We start from the raw sequence: 24,262 nt of genomic DNA, 5'->3' as shown, positions 1-24,262 counted from the left end.
GTTGTTCAGTCTATAATATCAAAAGCATACGGTTCATCAGCATTAGCACTGGCATCTGATTTATTGGGAGCTCTCGGGCTCACGGTGGCAAAGACAAACTTTCCAAAACTCCAACTTCACTTGACAGCTCAAACTTTATCACTGGCAACAAACACTGTTAGCTGACTTCTTTGAGGTGAGAGGCTAACTTCACTCATTTAGTAAGAGATGTCAGTAATCTGTAAATTATTTTTTTATAGTGTTCCATGAAAAGAGCAGCTAGTTCAACTACAACTCAAATAATCCCTCAACAACCACCCAACTTCAAAATACAATGAAAGTGCTTTCCGTGGACTTGCCATTTTATCAGAGCAGAATCACTGATTTTGTGAAACAGCTCATCTGCTGAGTTGGCCGGGGCACACCCAACACTGTGCCATGAACTGCTGTCATGCGTCTTGTTAGCAACGGGAGAAACTGGGTACCAGGCACAAGGGCACTCCCTATGCTATCTCTGCCACATATGTATACATCTCAAAATGTTCCAAAATAGAAGGTTTGCAAATAAGTATGTCTTTAGGATAAAAATAACAAAACCCTGCCAATACACGATGTGCCCCACCTGCTACCACCAAATCCTTGCCTGCCAACCTCTTTAAGCACGTTCCAAACCCTCACCCAAGCCCATCCTCAAGTGTGGCTCTTCCCAAGAGCTGCTGAATCCCAAGCAAGCCATCTGGGTCCAGATCCACCATCAGACTGAAATTCATCTCCCAGGTGTCAGACAAGAGCCCCACAAGCAAGCTCCTGACTGCGTGGGCACCTGCCACGGCCAGTGTTTCGCATCTCCCCTCCCTGTGGCCATCCTCACGGTCCGCGGGGCCTCTGCTCTGCTCCAGAAGCCCCCAGAAGGTGGGCAGGAGGTTTGGCTGGTGTGCATGAGGGCCAGCCCCCAGTGAAGGTGCCCCTTGGGACTGTCTCCCAGGGTGGGGGTAGGAGGTGCCGGGGACACCTGTCACCCCCAGGTCTCCATCTCCTGCCTTGACCTCTCACCGGCACTTTCTTCAGTCCAGGGTTTAAACCCCGTCTAGGCCATGGTCACTCGGATCAGCCATCCCAGCACTTCCACAGCTGAACCCTCCTCACTTCCCTGTTATCTTTCTCCCCAAGAATACTACCAGGAGTCCCGGCCACCTCCCTGCGGCCCCACCCTCATCGCCCTGCTCTCGCCCTTCCGCATCCCGAGGCTCCTCCCTCTCTGACTCCCCCTCAGCCCACCCCCTCACCCGGGACCTGGGCTCTCACCGAGTACCCTGGCACCCATCGCTCCGAAGGGTGGCATCGCCCCTCTGCCACACACACTCCGATCTGGCCGTCTCTTTGTCCTCCAATGCTCCATGTGTCCCTCCCAAAACCACACGGGCTGCAGCAGGAAGACCATGGCCGCTAAGCCCTTCTGTGGCTGACGCCAGCGCTGTTCCTCCAGGGGGCCTCCTCCCCGGAGAGCCTGCTAGTACCAAGCCTGGTCAGCCGCCTCCCTCGCAAGCAGCCTCACACCTCAGCTCCTCTGTGCAGGGCCCAGGCCTCTCCCCATCCAGCCACTGCCTCTCTACACAACCTCGTCTTATTCCTTCCCAGGGCAAACACACTCTAGGTCAGGGGGTGGCACGTGAGGGCCCACAACCCAGCCCAGCTCTCCACCTGCTTCTATGCAGCCTGTGAGCCAGGAATGGGTTTTACATTTTAAAACAGAAAAATAACAAAAGAACAATATTTCATGATGAGAAAATTACATAAAACTCAAATGTCAGCGTCCACAAACAAGGTGCCTGCTTCTCAGCCCAACAGCAGAGTCGAGCGGCTTCACAGTGGCACGAGACATCCCACGCCCCACAAGGCCAGAAACACTTACACTCTGACCCTCACAGAAAAGCGTGCCATCCCGTCCTGGGCCTCTGGGATCCATCAGTGAACTCCACAAAGATCTCCACCCCTGTGGGCATGCACGGTGTCACCACCCAGTCCCCAGTGTACGTGCCAACATCATGCTGAGGTTGCTCCCCTCACTGCCAAGGCGCCGCAAGGTCCTCCCTCCCCCATGAGAATTCTCTATGTCTGCAAAGGATGGATCCCGAAGCCTCCACGCATTCTGGGCCTTCCCCTCTGCAAACACTGCTGGGCTGTGAGTTTGTGCCGCTGAGCTCACTGGTGGATTTTCTACTGTGAGGTTATTAGTCTGATCTCCATAGAGATTAAAATCAACTTGGATGAGAAGCCACATGTTCAATCACAGTCACCCCTAAGCAAGCGGCTTAACGGGAATAGTTTTTGCTTGTTTTTTCTTGAGACAGGGTCTCACTCTGCCGCCCAGGCTGGAGTGCAGTGGTGCAATCATGGCTCACTGCAGCCCTGCAGCCTCCAATTCCCGGGCTCGAGTGATCCTCCAGTTTCCGCTTCCCAAAGCGCTGGGAGCTTTGGGCCACCATGCCTGGCCCAGTGGATGGCCTTTTAAAAAGTACTTTATACACTACATCCAGAGTTACCCAAATTCAGTCAAATGCTGTGCATAACCACCCGCTAGTAGACACACATCACAGAAGAGTGGTTTCCACGCTCTCGACTGGGGCCTACGATGGTAAGTTCATACACTCATCACTGCAAGTTTCCTGAGTCGATACCTACCCGTTAGCCACTCCGAACCATGCTCCTTTTATCCAAGGCATGCTCCATTTTATCCAGTATTCTTAACACTGGCCATGGCCCACTCAATTGATGTGGGTTCAGACCCAAAGTTTGAAAAATAATGCACTCAAAATAAGACCAATGTCAGTTTCTAGGGACTCAGAGTTCAAGAACATGAGGGAACGTGGCACAAACGACCAAGGACCACCACCTAACATGACCTACACCACAAAGAGGAGAGCCAGAAATTGTAAGACAACAGGCCAATTATTGCAAACTGTGTTTGCCCACTGACAGTCACAACTGTTGGCTGGGAAACAGGGCACCCAGCCTTCTAAAAACACTTAGGGTGTGAACTTTCTCAATCTCAGGGACGCATTTCGGCAGAAAACGCAGACTGGCAGCGGCAGCACTCTGCTCAGGGACCCACCGCCAGCTCCCACCGACACAAGAGCTGAGCTCACTTGAGGACACGTAGCGGCAGGGGTTGTCCGCATCCTGGCCACCAGCGCCCACAGAGCTTGCAGCATGCCATGATGACAGCAGGGACCGTGGCCCAATTCCCCCCGCGTCATCTGGTGAAAGGTGAAGGCGTTCTGCCATATTTACGGGAAGCGCATTCACACCGGCAAGGAAATGCCAAGCGCGCACCCAGTTCTCCCTCCCGGCTCCATCCAAACGCGTTTCTACTTTCAGAAAGATTAAGCTTTGCTTCCAGATATTTGATGACTTTTCATCTCAAGGGAAAAGGAAAATCACTACAGGCCACAACGGCCTTCTCTCAGACACAGAAGGTAACTGGTCACTAGCGAAAGGTTTGTCAGCGCAGGGCCCTGCGGCAGGCCTCCGTGAGCTTGCCTCAAAACCGCCCCAGGTCTCCTGACAGGACTCCACACCAGCCCACCCGGTCCACACAGGATCCGGTCTCAACCACGACAGAATGTGGACACAGACGAGCAGAGGGGAGGTGACTGCAGCCAATACACACCCCCGATCCATTCTGCCCAGCCTTCCTCAGGTGTTTCACTGCAGCCTCCTCTCAGCCTTTCACCTCCTCAGCCGCCTCTGCTCCATGTGTCCTTCCACAGCTCCCACGCTGTAAGCTGGCGACCTGTGGGTTCCGAATGGAGCACCGCGCCATCCTCCACCACCACTGACCCCTTCCCCAGAGAGACACCTCCCATGGGAGCAGCGAGTCGTGGAGTCTGCTCCACCGTGAACGCTGACGATCCAGAATGTTTAATCAAATTGGACGGTTCTTGACGAAGTGTAGACGCGAAGGATTGCAGAGTGGTTCTTTCCAACAGGAATCAAGTTCATGTGACTTCACAGTATCTCGGCACACCATCTGCTGGCAGCTTAGGAGTTAACACTTCCTGCACATTTTAACCAAAGACACTCACAGGATTCTGCCACGGAGGCCCCGGGGTGCTCCTCTCTCTGAGACTTACGGCACCCCTGAGAGGGGGCTTCTGGGACAGCACTTCATCCTCTGCACGGGGGTCAGGATGGAGGGTGGCGGAGAGTGTTTCTCTACTTCCTGAGGATGGAGACATCGTCTCTTCCAAAGGGGGGGCCAGAGTGGAGTCTTGTACAACAGACAAAGGGAGTCCCAGGCGAGCCCACCGGGACGTGCAGAGGCGGAAACCTGAGCTTGTCTACGACTACAACCAAAGCAGGCTGAGCTTGCCTATGATTACAACCAAAGCAGGCGGCTCTGCAGGCTGGGAAGGCCACGTACCAATCACTCGCCCCATTCTTCTCCTGCAGGGGCTGAAGGGCCCCAGGTGCAGCTGAGAACAAAACAAGTGTAGCTTTTTCAGAGCAAATTGCAAGTGTGTGATTCCACCCAATACTGTTTTCAACTTCCTGAAACTCCTCCCCACGGCCCCCAGGCCCCCAAAGTTCCGGATGGTTCAGAGCACTTCTGCTGACCAAGTCAGATGATGTCATGCTTTCACCACCGTCACCCGTGTGAAGAGAAAATACAGATGTTTATCTACCTCAGGCACAGGGAGGACCTTCTAAAGCTTTCATCTCATTCTCATTCAAACCCTCAAATTGACTTTCCCCAAGAAGTCTTTCCTTCAAAATGAGGAAATGTTTAGTTTCTCTAGATTGCAGTGGCTAAACTGGTGCTGTGAGTTACAGTCATTTTCAAGTCAGCCTTGCGACTCCATGTCATGTCAATCACTTAATCGTGTAACTGGAGTTTTTGGGATTTGTACAGTATCACTGCAGACGAGGAACCCAAAGGCTAACAATCCTGACGGGGGAGCTGCAAGACCACTGAGGCCCACTGCCCAGCACCTGTGCCTGGAGCCCCCAAACCCCTACTCCCTCACCTCCCTCAAGGTTGTGGGAAGGCCTTCCGTGTGGACCAGGGTGCACACACATCACCTGGCCACCTGCCTGCAGGAAATTCTGAGCCTCCCTGTCTTTCAAGACCTGGACACTTGAGACGCACTGGCCAGGACTGTGGTGAGCATCCCTCAGTTTGGGTGCAGCATTTTCTCATGATGAGACTGCATTTCTGGCAACACTGCCAGAGAAGTGATGTGTCTCACTGGGTCCTTGGTGTCAACGTCTTATGACTGATGGTGTTACCCCGATCACTTGCTTCACACAGTATCTGCTGGGTTTTTCCACCGAGAGGCTACAGTTTTATTTTTCCCTTTGTGACGTGTATCTTGGGGGAGATACTTTGTGACTATGTAAATATCACAGACAGAAGGACATTAAGGAGACAGGGCGGCCACACGCACCAGTGTGGGGTCCCGGAGGGGATCCCGAAACAGCAAGAGGACACTGGTGCAAAACCGAAGTTCGAATAAGGTCTGTCATTTACGCAATAATGCTGTGAACTTTCTGGCGTTTATATGGATGCCTGGTTACATAAGACGTCAACATCAGGGGAAGCAGATGAAGACAACAGGGAAGCTCAGTGAAATATTTTTTGCATCTTTTCTGTAAAGTCAAAAACTATCTGAAAATTAAAAGCTGACCAAGCTGCAGTCTGATTCTGCACGAGAACCTGGGTAGGGCCTGAAAGTGTGCGTTTCTCACAAATACCCAAGTGATGCTGATGGACACAGCTGGCCCCTGGACGCTCGGCTGGCAAGGCTCTGGCAGACAGAGCCCACCGCACTACACACAACCTCCCAGTGACAGTCAGCCACCATGCAGAAAGATCATGCTCCCAGTACGCTCACCACTGCTTCACTGCAGGCCCTCCTGGACCCCAGCAGGGCAGACGGCCCGCTTGGCACACTGACCCAGCGAGGAGCCAAAGTCAGGGTCTTTGCTACCACACGGGTCTGCCGGGCCTTGCCCAGGTACGCTGGCAGCCCTCCAAGGCCACAGGGCCAGAGCCACCAGCCCACGCTGCAATTCAGAGGCGGCTGTGGAACGGCGGCTTGGCACCTCACCCCGTTGACTGTGGGCAATTACCAAGGCCACAAGGAAGCAGGAAGGTGGAGTGAATAGAACAGGCTTGCAAATTCCTGCTCAAGGGGAGTGACTGGCCGTACGGGTGACCTCCTCTCACTCCATTAACATCATCTTTAATAGGGTGTTATCAACCCACAAGAAAGAACACACTCCTGACAGATGCAGAGGACCCGATCAGGGCAGAGGGAAAGCACCGGGGGCACAGGCGTGGGGCTCCAAGCCTCGCAGAGCCCTGCGGGCAGGCCAAACCCGCACCTGCCAAGTCGGTCCCGCACAGGAGAGCTAACTCCCCCACGGCCAGCAAAGGGGCCTTCCTAAAGAAGCGGAACAGCCCAGAGAAAATATCTGCAAGTTGGTGCTCCAGGTCCCACGGTGACAGGCTCCCAATCACCCGAGGGGAAACTGGACTCTTTCAAAAGCACCCCACAGACCCGGGGCTCTCCGCCAGCTTCCTCCTGCCTCAGACAACAGTAAACATCAGTATGGAGGACTTGCCATAAAGAGGAAGAAGCCAACACTTTTTTTAAGTGACATTAGTGGAAACAAGAAATCAGAACAAAGGAGAGCTGGGAAGAATCCTTATTAGTTTCCTTAGAGTCATGGAGATGAGGCACTTGTGTAACAATAAGCTACTATGAAAAAGAAACAAGACAAATACATGCTTGGACATTAAAAATTTGATTGTGAACACATATTAAAGCCCTCTCCCAGAATGAGAATAAACGAGACACAGAAGGAAGGATAAAGACGCAACTCCAGGGCTCCACCTAGAACGTCCATCACAAACAGGAACTCCTAAGACAGAAGAGCAGAGCTGGAGAGGAAGAACTTCTCAGACAGAACAAGGGAACTTCCCAGAGCTGAAGGACAAAGCACCAGAGTCAGAGTCCCCGGCGTAGGAATCCACACACCTCAGCACACACAAGGGTAAAACATCATTAACACCAAAGAGAAGATCCAAGAGCGTTCAGGGAGGGAGAGGGGTCTCCACAAGGAGGAAGAGCACTTGCCAGAGGTTCCTGTGGAAACGAACAGAGCCAAGATGAAAACATTCCTGAACATACCCAGCTACAGAAGAAAGGAAAATATCAGGCTGGCTCGTGTGCAAGCTAACCCATCCAGATGAGAAGGACAGGGGCTGAAGGAGAAAGGGGACCTGACACTATCCTTGAGAATTTAAAACAATGTAAGGAGTCGATGGGAACAGAAAGTGCCAAGAGAAAAGCCATGACTAACAGAAAAATCCACGCTGTACAGGAAGGGAAACACTCAATTTGTCCGTGAAGAGAACAGTATTTGCATAGGCCTAACACAGACAGTCCAGGGGATAGAAGAGTTGGGATATGACAGAAGGGCTCCATCACCCCATCGTAATAGAAAGACAAGGCTGTGTAATACAAAATATCAGCTTAGAGCTAGGTGCAGTCACTCACACCTGTATTAGCGGCTACTAAGGAGGCTGAGGATCACTTGAGCTCAGGAGTTCGAGTACGGCCTGGGCAACATCAGGGGATCCTATCTCAAGAAAAAAATAAAAAGGATCAGCTTACTCAGAGCTGTGGAGAATGACCTAAAGAAACCACTCAAGATGTAAACCTCTTTGAAGAACGGGGCTGAGAGGTGGGGCAGGGGACCATTGCTTTTCATTGTAAGTCTTTCATTGACGTTCCTATTGTATACATTATATTGATTAAAATACTAAATATATGGGCTTTTTTTTTTAAGAACATAGGCTTCAGACAGACTGAATTCGAACCCTGGCTCTGTAAATCTGAGCAAGTCCCTTAGTGTCTGCGGGCCTAGTCACCTCATCTATAAAGTGGACGCAGCCTCTGCCTCCTGGGTCATGATGAAGCACCCGAGATGTTGAGCTGCCCCCACGCAGCGTGGAATCACAAATGGAAGCTCTTTTTTAAAAAGATTAAAGCCCCAGGCTGGACAACAAGGCGAAACCCCCTCTCTACGAAAAATACAAAAATTAGCCGGGGTGGTGGCGTCTGTGGTCCGAGCTACTCAGGAGGCTGCGGTGGGAGGATCACTTGAGCCAGGGAGGCCGAGGCTGCAGTGAGCCAAGATCACGATACTGCATTCCAGTCTCGGGGACCGAGTGAAACCCTATCTCCAAAAAAATAAAAATATTAACGCCAATGATGACAGAATCCAACATCGCAAGAATATATTCTTATTTTAATCGCCAGACACGGGAAGTGGACCCACATACAGAATTTTACCGCGTTTTGGTGTTTTCTTCTAGCACTGGATATCTGCGAGCTGCGTGTTAAATGACCAGATCCAGTTTTTATTTGACGTTTCCTGAGCTTACTCAGAACCACTCACTACTCCAAGTTATTTTTCTGTCCCCTAAGAACTTCCAGCTAAAAGTGAACCCTACAACTGCCTCCTCTTATCAATTATTTACTGTAGTGCGAGTTCCAGCATCGCCATCAGGCCCTGGAGTACATTCCTGGGCAGAACAGGCAACTCCAAACAGGGCAATTACCTGTTCCACATCAACAACTGTGTGACCCGGGCCCTCCCCGGTCAGGGTGCAAGCTCGCTACCCTTCAAAGCCCACACTCGCTCCACTTGCTCACAGTTCTTCAGGGATGATGTATTTCTCCAATAGCAAGACAACCCCTACCATCTCATCAGTGAAAAACATCAGTCCTCTATCAAGGCAATCTCTCCAATTTGCTCACACAGTGTGGATGGAATGTCATCTACTTTCTGCATCCTAGGGGGGAAAAAGAAAACGGCCACCTTCCTTAAGGACTAGATCACAGAAATCGCACAAACGTGCTGGGGAGGGGGCACCCCGAGGTCCTCGTTCATCGGGGCCCCTCGGGGGACGGGCTGGGGTCGTCGCCGAGGTCTGCGGTCCCCGAGAGCGCCCCTTGCGTGTGCAAGTCCTGGGCTATGGGGCTCCGGTCCACAGCCACGGAGGAGGCACAAAAACGATGCCTGTCGCTCCCGCCTGGCTGGCAGGAGCGACCCCCTTGGGAGACTTCGGGCCCCAGAGGAGCCCGGGCGCGGTTCTAGGCCTTTCCAGTCTCCCCGCCGTGGCTCCGGGTCCTTCCCGCGGGGCGAGGCCCGGGACAGAGGTCGGGAGCGCGAGGCCCCCGGGCCGGGCTGCGGCAGCCGCGGCTCAACGGACGCCGGGCGCGGTGGGGCCGGGGGTGCGGAAGCGAGGAAGCGGGAGCCCCTCTTCCGGGGCGCGGCCGGGGACGGGGAGCGGGGCCCGGGGGGCGATCGCCCGGCCCGGGCGGTTGGCGGCGGCGGGGCTGCGGCGCGGGCGGCCCGGCGGGCGGGAGGAGGAGGGAGGAGGGAGATCTCGCTCTCGCTCTCGCCCCGCGGGAAGGGGGAGGCGGAGGCGCGACCGGCTGCGGGAGCTGCAATTACCGTGTGGGCTGCGGAATTCTCGTGGTGTTTGTCGGGGAGATGCGATAATGGCGTCCGTCCTCGCGAGAGAAGCCGCCGCTCTGCGCAGGCGCCGCGAGCCCCTCCCCGCGACGCTCGGCCCCCGCCCTCCGCGCAGGCTCACTGGGCGCGCGGGCCCGGGGGCGGGGCACCCCTGTGGCAGTGAGGCCAGCTGCGCGCGCTTTTCCCGCTCGGCCTCCTGGTGAGCATGCGCAGGCGGCCTTCTTCCGCGACGGTACCGGCTTCCCAGGGCTTTTTTCCCCCCGTTTTTCGCCCACGCCCATGGCCTGCGTGAGAACAATCACCTCAGTGGACGGTCTGAGGAATTTGCATCTTCTTTGAGACGGAATGAATACGCATTAGCTCCCTCAACTACTACACCTCCCAGGGTGCCCTGCGCAAGCTGGGAGCCATGCATTCGGGGACTCGTAGTCCCTGCGTCTGGGCCATGCCTGCCGGGACTTGTAGTCTCTCCGGACTCCGGTGGCCCGTCCTGTCCCCGCACCAAGGGTTGCTGGGACTTGTAGTTACGATGTCTCAGGTGGGCTGTGCGCCCCCAGCGGGTCCTACCTGCTGCTGCGGCGGGTCCTGCCCTGAGGTTCCGGAGCGCTTGGTGGCGTTTTCCCTGACATAAGTGGTCAGGGGTCCCCAGTGTCTATCCAGAGGGGCCTGAGTGCACGCGCGCGGGACTTAGCACACGCGGCAGTGATTATGGTCTTAGATAAGTCCTATAGGTAACACATAATATAAATAAGTGATGGCGGCCGGGCACGGTGGATCACGCCTGTAATCTCAGCCCTGTGGGAGGCCAAGGCGGGCGGAACACCTGAGGTAAAGGGTTCGCGACCAGCCTGGCCAACATGGCGAAACCCTGTCTCTACTAAAAATACAAAATTATGCCGGGCGTGGTGGCGGGCGCCTTGTAATCCCAACTACTCGGGAGGCTGAGGCAGGAGAATCGCTTGAGCCCGCGAGTCAGAGGTTGCAGTGAGCCGAGATCGCGCCACTGCACTCCAGCCTGGCGACAGAGCGAGACTCTGTCTCAAAAAAAAAAAAAGTGATGACGTGAATGTGCACACGTAGAATAAATGTGCAAATGTGCGTTTGTGGGTAATCACAGGAAAAAATTCCCAAACCATAGCGCAGTTCCCAGAAATGTCATTCCTGGTTATCTCCCTCTGCTAATCTAGGATTACCTTGCCTTTCATTTTCTTCTTTATACTCGCCTCTGTTTCCTCAATTATTTGCAATGAGCAAGAATGCCTTTGAGCTCCCAAACACAGGGCGAGGCAGCTATTTTCACTGGGAAAAAGAAAATGCTGGCCGGGCGCGGCGGCTCACGCCTGTAATCCCAGCACTTTGGGAGGCCGAGGCGGGTGGATCACGAGGTCAGGAGATCGAGACCATCCTGGCTAACACGGTGAAACCCCGTCTCTACTAAAAATACAAAAAATTAGCCCGGCGCGGTGGCAGGCGCCTGTAGTCCCAGCTACTCGGGAGGCTGAGGCGGGAGAATGGCGTGAACCCGGGAGGCGGAGCTTGCAGTGAGCCGAGATGGCGCCACTGGACTCCAGCCTGGGCAGCAGAACGAGACTCCGTCTCAAGAAAAAAAAAAAAAAAAAGAAAGAAAGAAAAACAAAATGCTTTACCTTGAATTTCCTGCCCAACTCCCTTTTGCCAATAATAAAAACAGGATTCAGCGCAGTCATGGGCTATGCGACCTTGGGCAACCTTACCGAGTTAAAGTCTCCTCCAGAATTAGGCTTGGAGGTTCCACTGAGGCTGGTGGCTGGGTTACTTCGTGGCAAAAGTGCCTTACAAACACTCCAAGGAGGAGCCTTGGCAAAATGGCAGCGCTGGGACAGGTGTTGATCTGAAGATGGGACTTGTCCTTTTTCAACATGAAGATCAGCTCCAAAGAGATTAGAAAAATTGTCCAGCGAGGCCACAGGGCTGGAGAGAGGCACAAGCTGAGTTTGCAGTCCAGAGCGCCTTGCTTAGAGTGTGGAGTCCACTCACATGGAGGGAAAGGGTGCGTGCGATAGCTGACACAGAATATTCCCTCCGGCAGTGGGGACAAAACATGTTCTAGGGACGCACGCCTTTTGTCTCCACCTCCACCTCAATCACGGCTGCATTCAAATATTAATACTTGCCCATGTAAGAATTCTTAGCATCCACGCCGGAATATCTGGCTTGAAAACACAAACCTAGGGTGATGTCGTTCCTGTTGTTTCAAAACATTCCCAAGTCCGTGTCTGGAGCTGCACTTCCCCTATCCCCAGGCCTTGTGCAATGCTGGGCTCGGCGTCATGAACAGGTGTGAGTGGACAAGAGGAGGAACTTGTGGGCAAAGGTGAATCCATCTGTGACCATCCAACAAGCTACAGTGAGGTTTGTTGAAGGCCACTGCTGACTAGGCATTATCAGAAATTAAGCCAATCAAAACTATGATTGTGCTGCAGTTAGTGATTGTTTTGTTTTGTTTTGTTTTGTTTTGTTTTGTTTTGTTTTGTTTTGTTTGCATCAGGGTCTTGCTCTGCCATCCAGGCTGGAGTGCGATGGTACAATCAGAGCTCACTGCAGCCTCTACCTCTCGGGCTTAAGTGATCTTCTCGCTTGAGCCTCCAGAGTAGCTGGGACTGCAGGCATGCACCACCACCATTGCCTGATTTTTTTTTATTTTTTGTAGAGTCAGAGGTCTCAATATGTTGTCCAAGCTGGTCTTGAACTCCTGGACTCAAGCGGTCCTACCGCCTTAGCCTCCCAAAAAGTGTTAGGGTTACAGGCATGAGCTACTACACTTTTTTATTTTTGATGGTTTTGATTTAGTTTTTATTTTGCTGCTCAGGAAGCTAAAAAAGGAAGGCATTGTTCAATATTGGCATATAGTTGATTCACCGTAATTTTAAAAATGAAGTAGCTAGTCATCAGCAAAGACAGCTGTCTGTAGTGAAGGTTCGCTTACTCACCAGTCGGTACAAGGATCCAATCTGGCCTGGAGTTAATGAAGTTACAGTCACATTAGTGAGGGCATTATAAGAGGAGCGGGAAGTGCACTCTGGCCTGTGTGGCACCAGATATGGGGGCCACTTACAAGTGTGTGCACTAGGCCATAAGTAAAGGTCACAGAGGTCCTTTTGTCAACACCTCGAAATGCCCACATCAAGAAAACCCTGGAACCTTCCGACGGTTCCTCTTTCTGAGAATGTCACTAGGGTAGAGAAAGAGAAAGTAAACACGATGCACTCGGTGGCCCAGGAAAAGCCCAGGAGGCCGAGTGGAATGCTGGAACGCTGAGCCTGGTTGTTCTTAAGTGCGAGGACTTGGAGTTTGCCCGGCCAGGGCTAGAGTCTGAGCCTTCCCTGGGCAAGTTGCTGAGGCTCTCAGGCCTCGCTTCCCACTCTGGGAACTGGTGTTTAGATCTCACAGCTCACAGGGATATTGGGAGGGGTCCATGGCATGGAGGTGATGAAGCGTTTAGTAGAGAGTCTGATTCCGGATGTGCTCATGTTACCATGGGCTGGGTGCCCATGAGCCAGGCACATTTCACTGTAATTCCTATTCTTTGTGAAGAACAGGAAGACACGAGAGGTTGAGCAATACACCTGGGGTCACACAGCCACAGTGGGGGTAGAGACGAGAGGAGGCAGGTGGTGAGATGTGGCAGCAAAGGTAGTGAAGGCACAACTGCGTCCTTGTCAGCGAGGAAGGGGTGTCGTCTTGCTCCTGAGGCAATGGGGAAGACTTTACAAAGTTTGGGGCCAGAGTGGGTAGGATCAGATTTGTGTTTTGAGAAGTCCATCTGGCGGCCTGGCACAGTGGCTCACACCTGTAATCCCAGCACTTTGGGAGGTCAAGACGGGCAGCTCACCTGAGGTCGGGAGTTCGCAACCAGCCCAACCAACATGGTGATACCCCGTCTCTACTAAAAGTACAAAATTAGCCGGGTGTGGTGGCGCATGGCTGTGATCCCAGCTACTCGGGAGGCTGAGGCAGGAGAACCGCTTGAACCCAGGAGGTGGAGGTTGCGGTGAGCCAAGATCGCGCCATTGCACTCCAGCCTCGGCAACAAGAGCGAGACTCTGTCTCAAAAAAAAAGAAAAGTCCATCTGGCTGGAGTGCTGGAAAAGGAATGGGAGGAGGAAATACATTATCCTGCATGAATTTGAGGAGAGCAGTGGAGAAGGCTGTGACAGGCTCCAAGTGAGAGACGGAGGCTTGCTGCAGGGGGTTGCAGTGCAGACAGGATGAAGAGAAATGGACAGATTGGAGAGGTTCCACAGAGTGAAATCCACAGGACTTGCCCATGAGCCCGATGCTGGGGACTGCTAAGGGAGAGGGAGTGTCCAGGTGCTGTACTGGATGGTGGATGCACAGCTCCAGGAGATGGGAGACCGGACGTCATGGCTACCGCCCACGGTCGTGAGGACTGTCCCTGAAAACACATCTTTGCAATTGTTCCCCCCAGGGGGGCTCCTTCTGTAATTCATCCTCCACTCTCCACCCCTCCCCTGACTTTGCCACTTCATGCAAGGGCACTGTAAGGGTTTGAAGGTCTCACTGGAAGAGGTCAGCTTTGGGGTGAACTAGAGCCCTGAAAGGAGACCCCACTGGAAAACAAGATGATGATCCAGGGGTGATGGGAGGGGGTGGCAGTCAGCACCACTCAGCCCCTCCTGGCGTGGATCCCACCCTCTCCGGGGACAGGCCACACACTCTGGGCTGTCGAGAGAGACCAGGACCTACCCAGTCACTGCTGTGTGGATACGGTGCCCTCTGAAACTGGAGAAACAACCTACGCTTCCTGTACCTTACCTTCCTCACTTGTAAAGTGGATCAGCAAGGCCTCAAATATGGGGGCCGCTTACACGTGTGTGCACCAGGCCATTTGTAAAGGTCACAGAGACCCTTACTATCTGCGTAGTAACATGCATTTGAAAGAGAGAGGAGAGAGAGAGAGTGGCATTGCTTAGGCCCAGCAATTTGGCTGATTTCTCCTTTGTCTTGGCCAAACATATGGCCAAGCAGCCTTCGTGGTCACTTCTCAATCTGGGCTGATATGAGACCCTCTGAAAACACCAAAGCCTGCACCTCCAGGAGTGGGGCCAGGTTCAGTGGCTCCAGAAACCCCCGGGAGTCCACTGCACAGACTCTCTCATCTCTGTCTCTAACTCTGTCTCTCTCTCTCTCCACCCCGCCCTTCCCATCTGTGGGCTTGGTTTTTCCCCATTTTTTTTTTTAGGCGGAGTCTCGCTATGTCACCCAGGCTGAAGTGCAATGGCGCGATCTTGGCTCACTGCACCCTCCGCCTCCCAGGTTCAAGTGATTCTCCTTCCTCAGCCTCCCGAGTAGCTGGGATTACAGGCGCCTGCCACCAAGCCTTGCTATAATTTTTGTATTTTTTTGGTAGAGAGGGAGTTTCGCCATATTGGCCAGGCTGGTCTCGAACTCCTGGGCTCAAGTGATTCTCCCACCTACTTCATCTGAAAGTGCTGGGATTACAGGCATGAACCACCTCACCTGGCTGGTTTTTCCCCATTCCTGAGCAGGATCTCATGAAGGGGTCCCCGCAACTACCAACAGGTTTTTCCAGTTCAACCATTCCCTGGGAGAGAGAGGGCCTCTTTTCTCATCATTCCAGCAAGGCTCCCGGGGGCGATGCTTACTGGCCAGACTGTGTACCCGGCAATGACCCCCACTCCGAGTGGCCAGTCCTGAGACATGTCTGGGGGAGGGGTCAGCCTGGCCCAGCCTCGTGGAGGGCGGGTGGGGAGGGCTGGTCTCCCAGAGCAAACCCAGCAGCTGCCAGGGAGAAGAGCTGGGTGTGCGCAGGCAGAAACAGCACCAGTCCCCAGCGGGGTCCCTCAGGGCTCTCCTCCTGCACACGTGAACGCTGACGTCAGCACTGACGTTCTGTCCGGCTGGCAGCTCTGTCCTCCTGTCTGAGAATGGGAGCAGCCGTTGATGCGAACTCCTCAGGAGAGGCTGCGTACGGTGCAATTAATCCAGGCCACCCAAGCCAGACAGCTGATTAGCATCTCAACAGGGGCTACTGAGCGTTTGAGTCCTTATTAATGAGAAGTTGCCGCTGTGAAGCAGGTGGGGGAAACAGGTGTACAAACCCACGCAATCAGTAAAAAACGCCTGCGGGAAATGGACCCATAAAAAATCCAGCAGCAGTGACGGTAGCCCAGCGTGCCAGGGAACCGTTGCTTTTCCGACTTGCTTTCTTCCTGGCTCTGTCGGTGGTCGGCATGGTCCGTGGAAATCAACGAGAACTTGCCCGCCAGAAAACATGAAGAAAACCCAGGAAATTAGCAAGCGAAGAAGAAAAGAGGATAGCTTGACCACCTCTCAGAGAAAGCAGGGGGACTCTGAGATCATGCAACAAAACAGGAGGCAGTTAATGAGAAATCTATGCAGACGAGAAAAATGATAACTGGCTATTTGGAAAACCTGGATGTTACTGCCAACTGGGTGCCTCATAAGCCCTAAGATTAAGATTTTGTAGAGTGAACAGTCATTACATATAACTTATCCTTTAAAAAGATTTTAAACTTTACCTTTCAGATTGACTTGGCGCGATGTTTTAGAAGCATTCTTCAAAGAATAAAACACTAGGCCGGGCGCGGTGTATCATGCCTATAATCCCAGCACTTTGGGAGGCCGAGATGGGTGGATCACCTGAGGTCGGGAGTTCGAGACCAGCCTGACCAACATGGAGAAACCCCATCTCTACTAAAAAAAAATACAAAATTAGCCAGGCGTGGTGGCACATGCCTGTAATCCCAGCTACTAGGGAGGCTGAGGCAGGAGAATGGCTTGAACCCAGAAGGCAGAGGTTGCGATGAGCCGAGATCGCGCCATTGCACTCCAGCCTAGGCAACAAGAGCGAAACTCCATCTCAAAAAAAAATAATAATAAATAAATAATAAAAATAAAACACTAACCATGGAAAAAAAAAAGTCCAGTGGCTCAGCAAAAGAAATTACTGTGACCAAAACTCGTGCAGAAACTTCTGTGTGTTTTGAAGGATTTTGTCCAATGCAAGTTTTTCCTATTTGATTTTTTCACCTAAAATAGCATTTCTTCATGGACAGTGTATCATTTTGAGATCACAGAGTACTATGGAGCGCAGGCAGCGCATTTAGAAATGACTTTCAACTTCTGGCCGGGCACGGTGGCTCACACCTGTAACCCCAGCACTTTGGGAGGCTGAGGCGGGCAGATCACCTGAGATCAGGAGTTTGCAACATGCATTACATCGTTTCTTACTTTTCAAAGAAAAACATGTTTTGCAACTTGAGCAACATGGAGAAACCTCGTCTCTACTGAAAATACAAAATTAGCCAGGCGTGGTGGCTCATGCCTGTTGATCCCAGCTACTCGGGAGGCTGAGGCAGGAGAATCACTTGAACGCGGGAGAAGGAGGTTGCGGTGAGCCGAGATTGCACCACTGCACTCCATCCTGGGCAACAAGAGTGAAATTCTGTCTCAAAAAAAAAAAAAAAAAGAAATGACTTTAAATTTCTATCACATGAGAATAAAGCCCTATTTCAAAAAGTGATGCAGAGAAATTTGAGGGTTCTCAGAGAATGGTGGGCTCTAGGCCTCTCTCACTCACTCACACACACTTGCCATGAACATGTATACATGTAAATTTACATCTGTGTGTTAGGTACTAACGTAGTGTGTGCTTTACGGAACATATGAAAAACAGAAAATCTTAATAGGTGAGAAAAAAATAAGAATAGAAATTTCAGTCTTCTGCACGTGGAAGGGTTATCTGGGTACACGTGGTCCATTTTAGAAAAAAGCAGTTAAAGAAGGTTTGACTTAAACATTTTGGGTTCAAATATGAAGAATGTTTGTAAACAGGCAGAGAGGAGCAGTTTCTTGATCTCCTACCTTCTAATTTAAGAAATGAAGGCCGGATGCAGTGGCTTATGCCTGTAATCCCAGCCCTTTGGGAGACCGAGGCGGGTGGGTCACGAGGTCAGGAGTTCAAGACCAGCCTGGCCAACATGGTGAAACCCCGTCTCTACTAAAAATACAAAAATTAGCTGGGCATGGTGGTGGGTGCCTGTAATCCCAGCTACTCGGGAGACTGAGGCAGGAGAATTGCTTGAACCGGAACCCGGGAGGCAGAGGTTGCAGTGAGCCGAGATCATGCCACTGCACTCCAGCCTGGGCTACAGAGCGAGATTCCATCTCAAAACGACAAGAAAAAAAAAAGAATGAAAAAATCTCCTTTAGTTATGGATTTTTATTAACTCCTGTAAGGGTCTCCACAGAAACAGACCAACAGGATGTGTGTGTGTGTGTGTAGTGTGTGTGTGTGTAAGTAAACCTACACCTAGCTACCTATCTATCTATACATGGGGAGAGAGAGGGAGATTTGTCAGATTTATCTTGAGGAATTGCCCTATGCAATTGGGGAGGCTTGACAAGCCCCAAATCTGACGAGAGAGTCGCAGTTCAAGTCCAAAGGGCACCTGCTGGCAGAATTCCTTCTCAATGGGGGGTGGGAGAGGGGGTTTGGGGGAATAGGGAGGGAGGTCAGTCTTTGTTCTATTAAGGCCTTCAACTGATTAGGTGAGAGCCACCCACATTGTGGAAGGTAATCTGCTTTATTCAACGTTCACTGAGGTATAAATGTTAATCACATTCAAAAAACACACTGATGGAAACATCTAGAATAATGGTCCACCAAATATCTGGGCACCATGGCCCAGCCGGGTTGACAAAAGTTACCATCATGACTCTGCATGAGAAATTTTCAACTCTGGCAGAAAATTACAGACTATACGGTGTTTTCTGTGGGAGGTAGAAACTAAGAAATTAGGAAGTGTTGGGTTGGATACATATAAGACATTTTGGCCCAGAATACAAGGTGAGCAGGTGAGAGCACAATCCCTTGCCTGAGTAACTTGGCACATCTATCAGCAGTTCAGTGGATTTACCCTTTGACCTATGTATGTCAAACCTAGGAATTCTATTCAAGGATATTCAGTGCAGTGTTAATTTTTTTGTTTGTTTGATTTTTGTTTTTCAGGGTTTTTTTTTTTTTTTTGAGACGGAGTCTTGCTCTGTTGCCCAGGCTAGAGTGCAATGGTGCAATCTCGGCTCACTGCAACCTCCGCCTCCCGGGTTCAAGCTATTCTAATGTCTCAACCTCCCGAGTAGCTGAGATTACAGGTGCCACCACTGCGCCCGGCTAATTTTTGTATTTTTAGTAGAGACGGGTTTTCGCCGTGTTGGTCAGGTTGATCTCGAACTCCCAAACTCAGGTGATCCGCCTGCCTCAGCCTCCCAAAGGGCTGGGATTACAGGCGTGAGCCACTGCACCTGGCCAAGTGCAATGTTAATTATAAGACCAAAAAAAAAAAAACCATAAAAACTAGAAAAACAGCTTGGCACAATGGCTCACACCTGCAATCCCAGCACTTTGGGAGGCCGAGGCGGGCAGATCACTTGAGGCTAGGGGTTCGAGACCAGCCTGGGCAACATGGTGAAACCCCATCTCTACCAAAAATACAAAAATGAGCCAGGTATGGTGGGCAATGCCTGTAATCCCAGCTACTTGGGAGACTGAGGCAGGAGAATCACTTGAGCCTGGGAGGCCGAGGTTGCAGTGAGCCTAGATCGCACCACTATACTCCAGCCTGGGCGACAGAACAAGACTGTCTCAAAAAAAAAAAAAAAAGGAAAAACACTGTAAGATAATTAATTTAATAAATTATGAGATATATATATATTTATTTTTATTTTTATTTTTTTGAGACAGAGTCTTGCTCTGTCACCCTGGCTGGAGTGCAGTGGCACGATCTCAGTTCACTGCAACCTCTGCCTCCCAGGCTCAAGTGATTCTCCTGCCTCAGCCTTCCAAGTAGCTGGGATTACAGGCGTGCGCCACCACACCCGGCTCATTCTTCTATTTTTAGTAGAGACGGGGGTTTCACCATGTTGGCCAGGCTGGTCTTGAACACCTGACCTCAAGTGATCCACCCGTCTTGGCCTCCCAAAGTGCTGGGATTACAAGCGTGAGCCACCACACCCAGCTGGTACTTATTTTAGTGGAACATTCTGTAGTTATTTCTTTAAAAGAAGAGCTATGTACACCATCTATAAGAGAGGTAATTTAATAAATTATGGTAATATGTCAGTGGAATATTTTGTAGTTATTTCTTTAAAAGAAGGGAAGAGCTATATACACTGATATAAAAATTATTCCGGATAAATTAGTAGGTGGCATATATATGTGTTTCTATAAGTACATATCCTCTATACATAATTATTTCCTGTATTTAAAAAGAGAATACATATGTAAGAGATTTCTGATATGGAAATTCCCAAAAAGAACCATAAGAAACTGCTAACCGGCCGGGCACGGTGGCTCACACCTGTAATCCCAGCACTTTGGGAGGCCGAGGCGGGCGGATCACGAGGTCAGGAGATCGAGACCATCATGGCCGACATGGTGAAACCCCGTCTCTACTAAAAATACAAAAAATTAGCCGAGCATGGTGGCGGGCGCCTGTAATCCCAGCTACTCGGGAGGCTGAGGCAGGAGAATGGCATGAACCCAAGAGGCGGAGCTTGCAGTGAGCCGGGATAGCGCCACTGCAGTCCAGCTTGGGCGAAAGAGTGAGACTCCGTCTCAAAAAAAAAAAAAAAAAAAAAAAAAAAAAGATATTTATTATTTAGGTGCACCGGCCCAGTCGGATTAACATCCAAAGGACTGAGCCCTGAACAAAGAGCTTAAGTTACCTTTTAAGCATTTCGTGGGGTGGAGGGAGATCTGTGTAGGGGGAAGCACGTTGCAGAAGCGAGAAACAAAGACAGTTATTCAATTAATTGAGACATGCGTTACATCATTTCTTACTTTTCAAGGAAAAACATGCGTTGCGACTTGAGTTTATCTGTTTATGACCTTGCAGCTGCACGGCTAGAGAAACAGGGTCTTCGCAATGCCTGGGAAAGGGAGAGAGAAGGCTCACTAGCCACAGAAAAACAGGCAGTTAATTTTAAAGGACTTCAGCACTTTCTCTTTCTCAGGGGGAATTGGGTTTTCTTACATACAACTGAGTTTCTGCTTACATATTCTTTAATTTGTTTTAATTCCTGTTCCACCTGGATGTGGGTGGCACCATCCAATCTGCTGGGACCCAGAGAGAACAAAAACAGAGAAAAGGTGAATGTGTCTGTCCATCTGCCGGACTGGGGCGTGCGCTTCCTCTCCTTCCCTTGGACAACGCCCAGCTCCCCGGCCATGGGACTCCAGGACTTACACCAATGCCACCCTCTGCCCCAGGGTTCTCAGGCCTTTGGCCTTGGACTGAGAGTTACACCCTCAGCTTCCCTGGTTCTGAGGCCTTCGGACTTGGACTGAGCCATGCTACCAGCACCCCAGGGTCTCCAGCTTGCAGTGGCCTGTCCTGGAACTTCTCAGCCTCCATAGTCATATGGGCCAATTCCCCTAATTAATGTCCTCTCATTCATCTATCTATCTATCTATCTATCTATCTATCGATCTACCTATCATTTATCTCTTTATTTCTATCTATCACCTACCTGAGGCGGGAGAATAGGGAATGAGGGTAACCCAGGTTTAAGGCAGAAGCAAAAGAGCAGCAGGAGCAGCCGGTTCCAGGCAAGATTGGGCGGCACACGGGCCACAGTCTCACTACTGCGGTAACAGAACAGAAGCCTCCACTTCTGCCTCTGATTGGTCAGGGGCCAATCCTTCATAGGATGTAACCAATTGGAGCCCTCTAAAGGGCACCTGGGGGTGTTACCAAATTCTTTTAGCTTAATAAAAACCCTGAAGAACATGGTAATCAGGGTTCTTGAGCCACTTGCTTGTTCTTTTCTTGCTTTGTTTGTGTGTTTTGCTCAATTCTTTAACACACCAAGAACCTGGACAACTCGAAGTTAAGACTTTCCATCTGGTAACATGTCTACCTGTCATCTATCATCTAGCTCTCATCTACCTACCATCTATCTACCTACCAATCATCTTTCTTCATCTATCCATTATCTACCATCTATCTACCTATCTATCTACCTATCTATTGTCTGTCATCTGTCTACCTATCTAGCTATCATCTCTCTCTAATCTATCATCTATCTATCTATCTATCATCTCTTTCTCTCTCTCTTTCTCTAATCTATCTATCTGTTTGTCTATCCCATTGGTTCTGTCTCTCTGGAGAACCCTGATTAATACACTGGGGCTGGTGATATTTTGTAAGTAAAGCAGAGTCCTGCCATGGGGCAGCAGGGAGATGAGGAAGACAGGGAGACCCCCAGCCCACGGGTACTGCTGCAACGCAGTCAACCTAAACTGGGCAGGCTGAAGAGGGCAGGACGGCTGAGGATGGCAGAGGACATGCCCCAGGAGCCTGTGGGGCATCATCGGCTGCCCAGGTGAGTGTACTCAGGAGATGCCCCTGCTCACATGGGGCTGGCAATGCCTGGGGTGGGAGCTTGGCCTGCAGCAATGAAAGTGCCGCTCTAAGGACATCACTTGTGTCAACAACAGCTCGACAGAGTGTTATCGTGTATGATGGAATCCTAGAATCTTCCCTACTTTACAGATGAGGAAATGGAGGCAAAAGCCAATGAATTAATGAGTGAATGAATGAATGAGTGAATGAGTGAATGAATGAGTGAATGAGTGAATGAGTGAGTGAATGAATAAGTGAGTGAATGAGTGAGTGAATGAATGAATGAATGAGTGAATGAATGATTGACTGAGTGAGAGAATGAATGAGTGAGTGAATGAATGAGTGAGTGAGTGAATGAGTGAGTGAGTCAATGAGTGAGTGAGTGAGTCAATGAATGAGTGAGTGGGTCAATGAATGAATGACAATGAATCAGACTTCCCAAGAGTGGGTGCATTTCCACCATGACTGTGTGGGAAGGAGAGAACATATCATCCAGACTTGGTTTTTGTTGCTCAAAACAAATGCAAGCAAACTCTTGGGCCCACCAGAGCAGTGGCCGAAAGCCGCAGACCCTATCCATTGTGTGGGGGATTTCAGTGGGATTCTTGGGCTTTCAGGAGCCTACAAGTGGACTCGCATTTCAACACCTGTGTTCTGTAGGGTTTTCTAGATCTAAGATTCCAGGATTCTATGAAAAGTTATGATAGCCCTGCCCCCTAAAAGATTGTAAGTTTAAACAACAACAAGAAGTCACAAACTGGTGCATCCCAATCCCATGGGTTCCATTTCACAGGTAAAAGGTGTCTGGGTGAATAAACTGCTGTGCCGCTCAAAGGACCCAAAGGAAGGTTCTTTGTGGGTTGGCGTCTGCAAATATCACCAGCTGCCTGGCTAGAGTGACCAGCTAACATACCCATGTGGACCCTGGGCATGAAGGGAGGTACCAGGCCAGGGGCAGTGGCTCATGCCTGTAATCCGAGCACTTTGGGAGGCCACTCTGGGAGGATTGCTTGAGCCCAGGAGTTCAAGACCAGCCTGGGCAACATGGCGAGAACCTGCCTCTACAAATAATTTTTAAAATTAGCTGGACATAATGGCATGCACCTATAGTCCCAGCTACTTGGGAGGCTGAGGAGGGAGGATCACTTGAGCCTGGGTGATTGAGACTGCAGTGAGCCATGATGGCACCACCGCACTCCACCTTGGGTGACAGAGCAAGACCTCACCTCAAAAAAAAAAAAAAAAAGAAAGAAAGAAAGAAAGAAAGAAAGAAAGAAAAGAAAAGAGGCTGGACGCAGTGGCTCATGCCTGTAATCCTAGCACTTTAGGAGGCCGAGGTGGGTGGATTGCCTGAGCTCAGGAGTTCGAGACCAGCTTGGGGAACACAGTGAAACCCCGTCTCTACTAAAAATACAAAAAATTGGCCGTTGTGGTGGTGTGTGCCTATAATCCCAGCTACTCAGGAGGCTGAGACAGGAGAATTGCTTAAACCTGGGAGGCAAAGGTTGCAGTGAGGCAGGATCACGCCATTGCACTCCAGCCTGGGCAACAGAGCGAGACTCCATCTCAAAAAAAGAAAGAAAGAAAAGAAAAGAAACGAAGAAAAGAGGCTGGGCGTAGTGGCTCACACTTGTAATCCCAGCACTTTGGGAGGCCGAGGCAGGCAGATCACCTGAGGTCAGGAGTTCAACACCAGCCTGGCCAACGTGGTGAAACCCCATCTCTACTAAAAATACAAAAAATTAGCTGGGCATGGTGGTGGGCGCCTGTAATCCCAGCTACTCAGGAGGCTGAGGCAGGAGAATTGCTTGAACCTGGGAGGCAGAGGTAGCAGTGAGCCGAGATCACGCCATTGCACTCTAGCCTGGGCAACAGAAGTGAAACTCTGTCTAAAAAAAAAAAGAAAAGGAAAGAAAGAAAGGTGGCCCTGTTAATGTTTATGCCAAGACAGCAGGCATGACCTGGAAGTGTCCGAAGCCACAGGGCATCTTGCTTCCGGGGAGGATGAATGAATCAAATCGCACCTATTTTAAGGCAAGCAAGGACTCCATGACTTCAGGAGCCCTGGTGGGTGGACAGAAGCTCCCTGCTCCCCTGGCCTGTCTACCCAGCAGCGCTTTGGCCAGTCCCATTCCTGTACTTCTGAGCCTGCCTGCCAGTCCCTCCTCACATGCACACCATGGCTTTGTGCCTGGTATTGAGTGTCCCGGAGCCCCAAACCACACGGTCAACCCCATGAAAGAAACAGGGACTCTGCTCTCATCCACTCGCCCCCGCCTCCC

General features: G+C 51.0%; 1 protein-coding gene and 1 pseudogene across 30 annotated transcripts in view, besides 11 other annotated features; one reads left to right on the top strand and one right to left on the bottom strand.

Moving 5' to 3' along the window:
- BANP (BTG3 associated nuclear protein) overlaps positions 1-11,788 on the bottom strand; it is a 128,081-nt gene extending 116,293 nt beyond the window's left edge. For 16 of the 30 annotated variants that reach the window (NM_001384939.1, NM_001384942.1, NM_001384943.1 and 13 more), the window contains exon 1: positions 9,511-9,592. The gene's annotated coding sequence lies outside the window, so the exon portion shown is untranslated. Of the gene's footprint in view, positions 1-1,032; positions 1,156-8,611; positions 8,846-9,510; positions 9,593-10,098; positions 10,566-11,264 lie in introns of those variants that run through there. The other 14 variants (NM_001384941.1, NM_001384931.1, NM_001384936.1 and 11 more) reach the window with 5 other exon arrangements.
- Positions 3,549-4,491: an enhancer, noted in NCBI's record as "H3K27ac-H3K4me1 hESC enhancer chr16:87990141-87991083 (GRCh37/hg19 assembly coordinates)". NCBI's record gives its function as "activates a minimal SCP1, AML or CMV promoter by ChIP-STARR-seq in primed H9 embryonic stem cells {active_cell/tissue: H9 hESC(primed)}" and the evidence as "EXISTENCE:reporter gene assay evidence [ECO:0000049][PMID:30033119]".
- Positions 4,071-4,130: an enhancer, noted in NCBI's record as "active region_11347". NCBI's record gives its function as "activates an Ori minimal core promoter by ATAC-STARR-seq in GM12878 lymphoblastoid cells {active_cell/tissue: GM12878}" and the evidence as "EXISTENCE:reporter gene assay evidence [ECO:0000049][PMID:35858748]".
- Positions 4,561-4,680: an enhancer, noted in NCBI's record as "active region_11346". NCBI's record gives its function as "activates an Ori minimal core promoter by ATAC-STARR-seq in GM12878 lymphoblastoid cells {active_cell/tissue: GM12878}" and the evidence as "EXISTENCE:reporter gene assay evidence [ECO:0000049][PMID:35858748]".
- Positions 9,025-9,667: an enhancer, noted in NCBI's record as "H3K27ac hESC enhancer chr16:87984965-87985607 (GRCh37/hg19 assembly coordinates)". NCBI's record gives its function as "activates a minimal SCP1, AML or CMV promoter by ChIP-STARR-seq in naive and primed H9 embryonic stem cells {active_cell/tissue: H9 hESC(naive and primed)}" and the evidence as "EXISTENCE:reporter gene assay evidence [ECO:0000049][PMID:30033119]".
- Positions 9,025-9,736: a biological region, named in NCBI's record as "H3K27ac hESC enhancer GRCh37_chr16:87984965-87985607".
- Positions 9,097-9,196: a silencer, noted in NCBI's record as "silent region_7846". NCBI's record gives its function as "represses an Ori minimal core promoter by ATAC-STARR-seq in GM12878 lymphoblastoid cells {active_cell/tissue: GM12878}" and the evidence as "EXISTENCE:reporter gene assay evidence [ECO:0000049][PMID:35858748]".
- Positions 9,217-9,276: a silencer, noted in NCBI's record as "silent region_7845". NCBI's record gives its function as "represses an Ori minimal core promoter by ATAC-STARR-seq in GM12878 lymphoblastoid cells {active_cell/tissue: GM12878}" and the evidence as "EXISTENCE:reporter gene assay evidence [ECO:0000049][PMID:35858748]".
- Positions 9,307-9,426: a silencer, noted in NCBI's record as "silent region_7844". NCBI's record gives its function as "represses an Ori minimal core promoter by ATAC-STARR-seq in GM12878 lymphoblastoid cells {active_cell/tissue: GM12878}" and the evidence as "EXISTENCE:reporter gene assay evidence [ECO:0000049][PMID:35858748]".
- Positions 9,437-9,736: a silencer, noted in NCBI's record as "silent region_7843". NCBI's record gives its function as "represses an Ori minimal core promoter by ATAC-STARR-seq in GM12878 lymphoblastoid cells {active_cell/tissue: GM12878}" and the evidence as "EXISTENCE:reporter gene assay evidence [ECO:0000049][PMID:35858748]".
- Positions 9,927-10,236: an enhancer, noted in NCBI's record as "active region_11345". NCBI's record gives its function as "activates an Ori minimal core promoter by ATAC-STARR-seq in GM12878 lymphoblastoid cells {active_cell/tissue: GM12878}" and the evidence as "EXISTENCE:reporter gene assay evidence [ECO:0000049][PMID:35858748]".
- Positions 14,484-15,029: an enhancer, noted in NCBI's record as "H3K27ac-H3K4me1 hESC enhancer chr16:87979603-87980148 (GRCh37/hg19 assembly coordinates)". NCBI's record gives its function as "activates a minimal SCP1, AML or CMV promoter by ChIP-STARR-seq in primed H9 embryonic stem cells {active_cell/tissue: H9 hESC(primed)}" and the evidence as "EXISTENCE:reporter gene assay evidence [ECO:0000049][PMID:30033119]".
- On the top strand, positions 15,382-16,207 carry LOC107984816 (small EDRK-rich factor 1-like; annotated as a pseudogene).

The sequence above is a fragment of the Homo sapiens genome, chromosome 16 (assembly GCF_000001405.40).
Source record: "Homo sapiens chromosome 16, GRCh38.p14 Primary Assembly".
NCBI classification, from domain to species: Eukaryota; Metazoa; Chordata; class Mammalia; order Primates; family Hominidae; genus Homo; species Homo sapiens.
The sequence above is the reverse complement of the archived record's forward strand: the minus strand, read 5'-3'. Positions and strand labels throughout refer to the sequence as shown.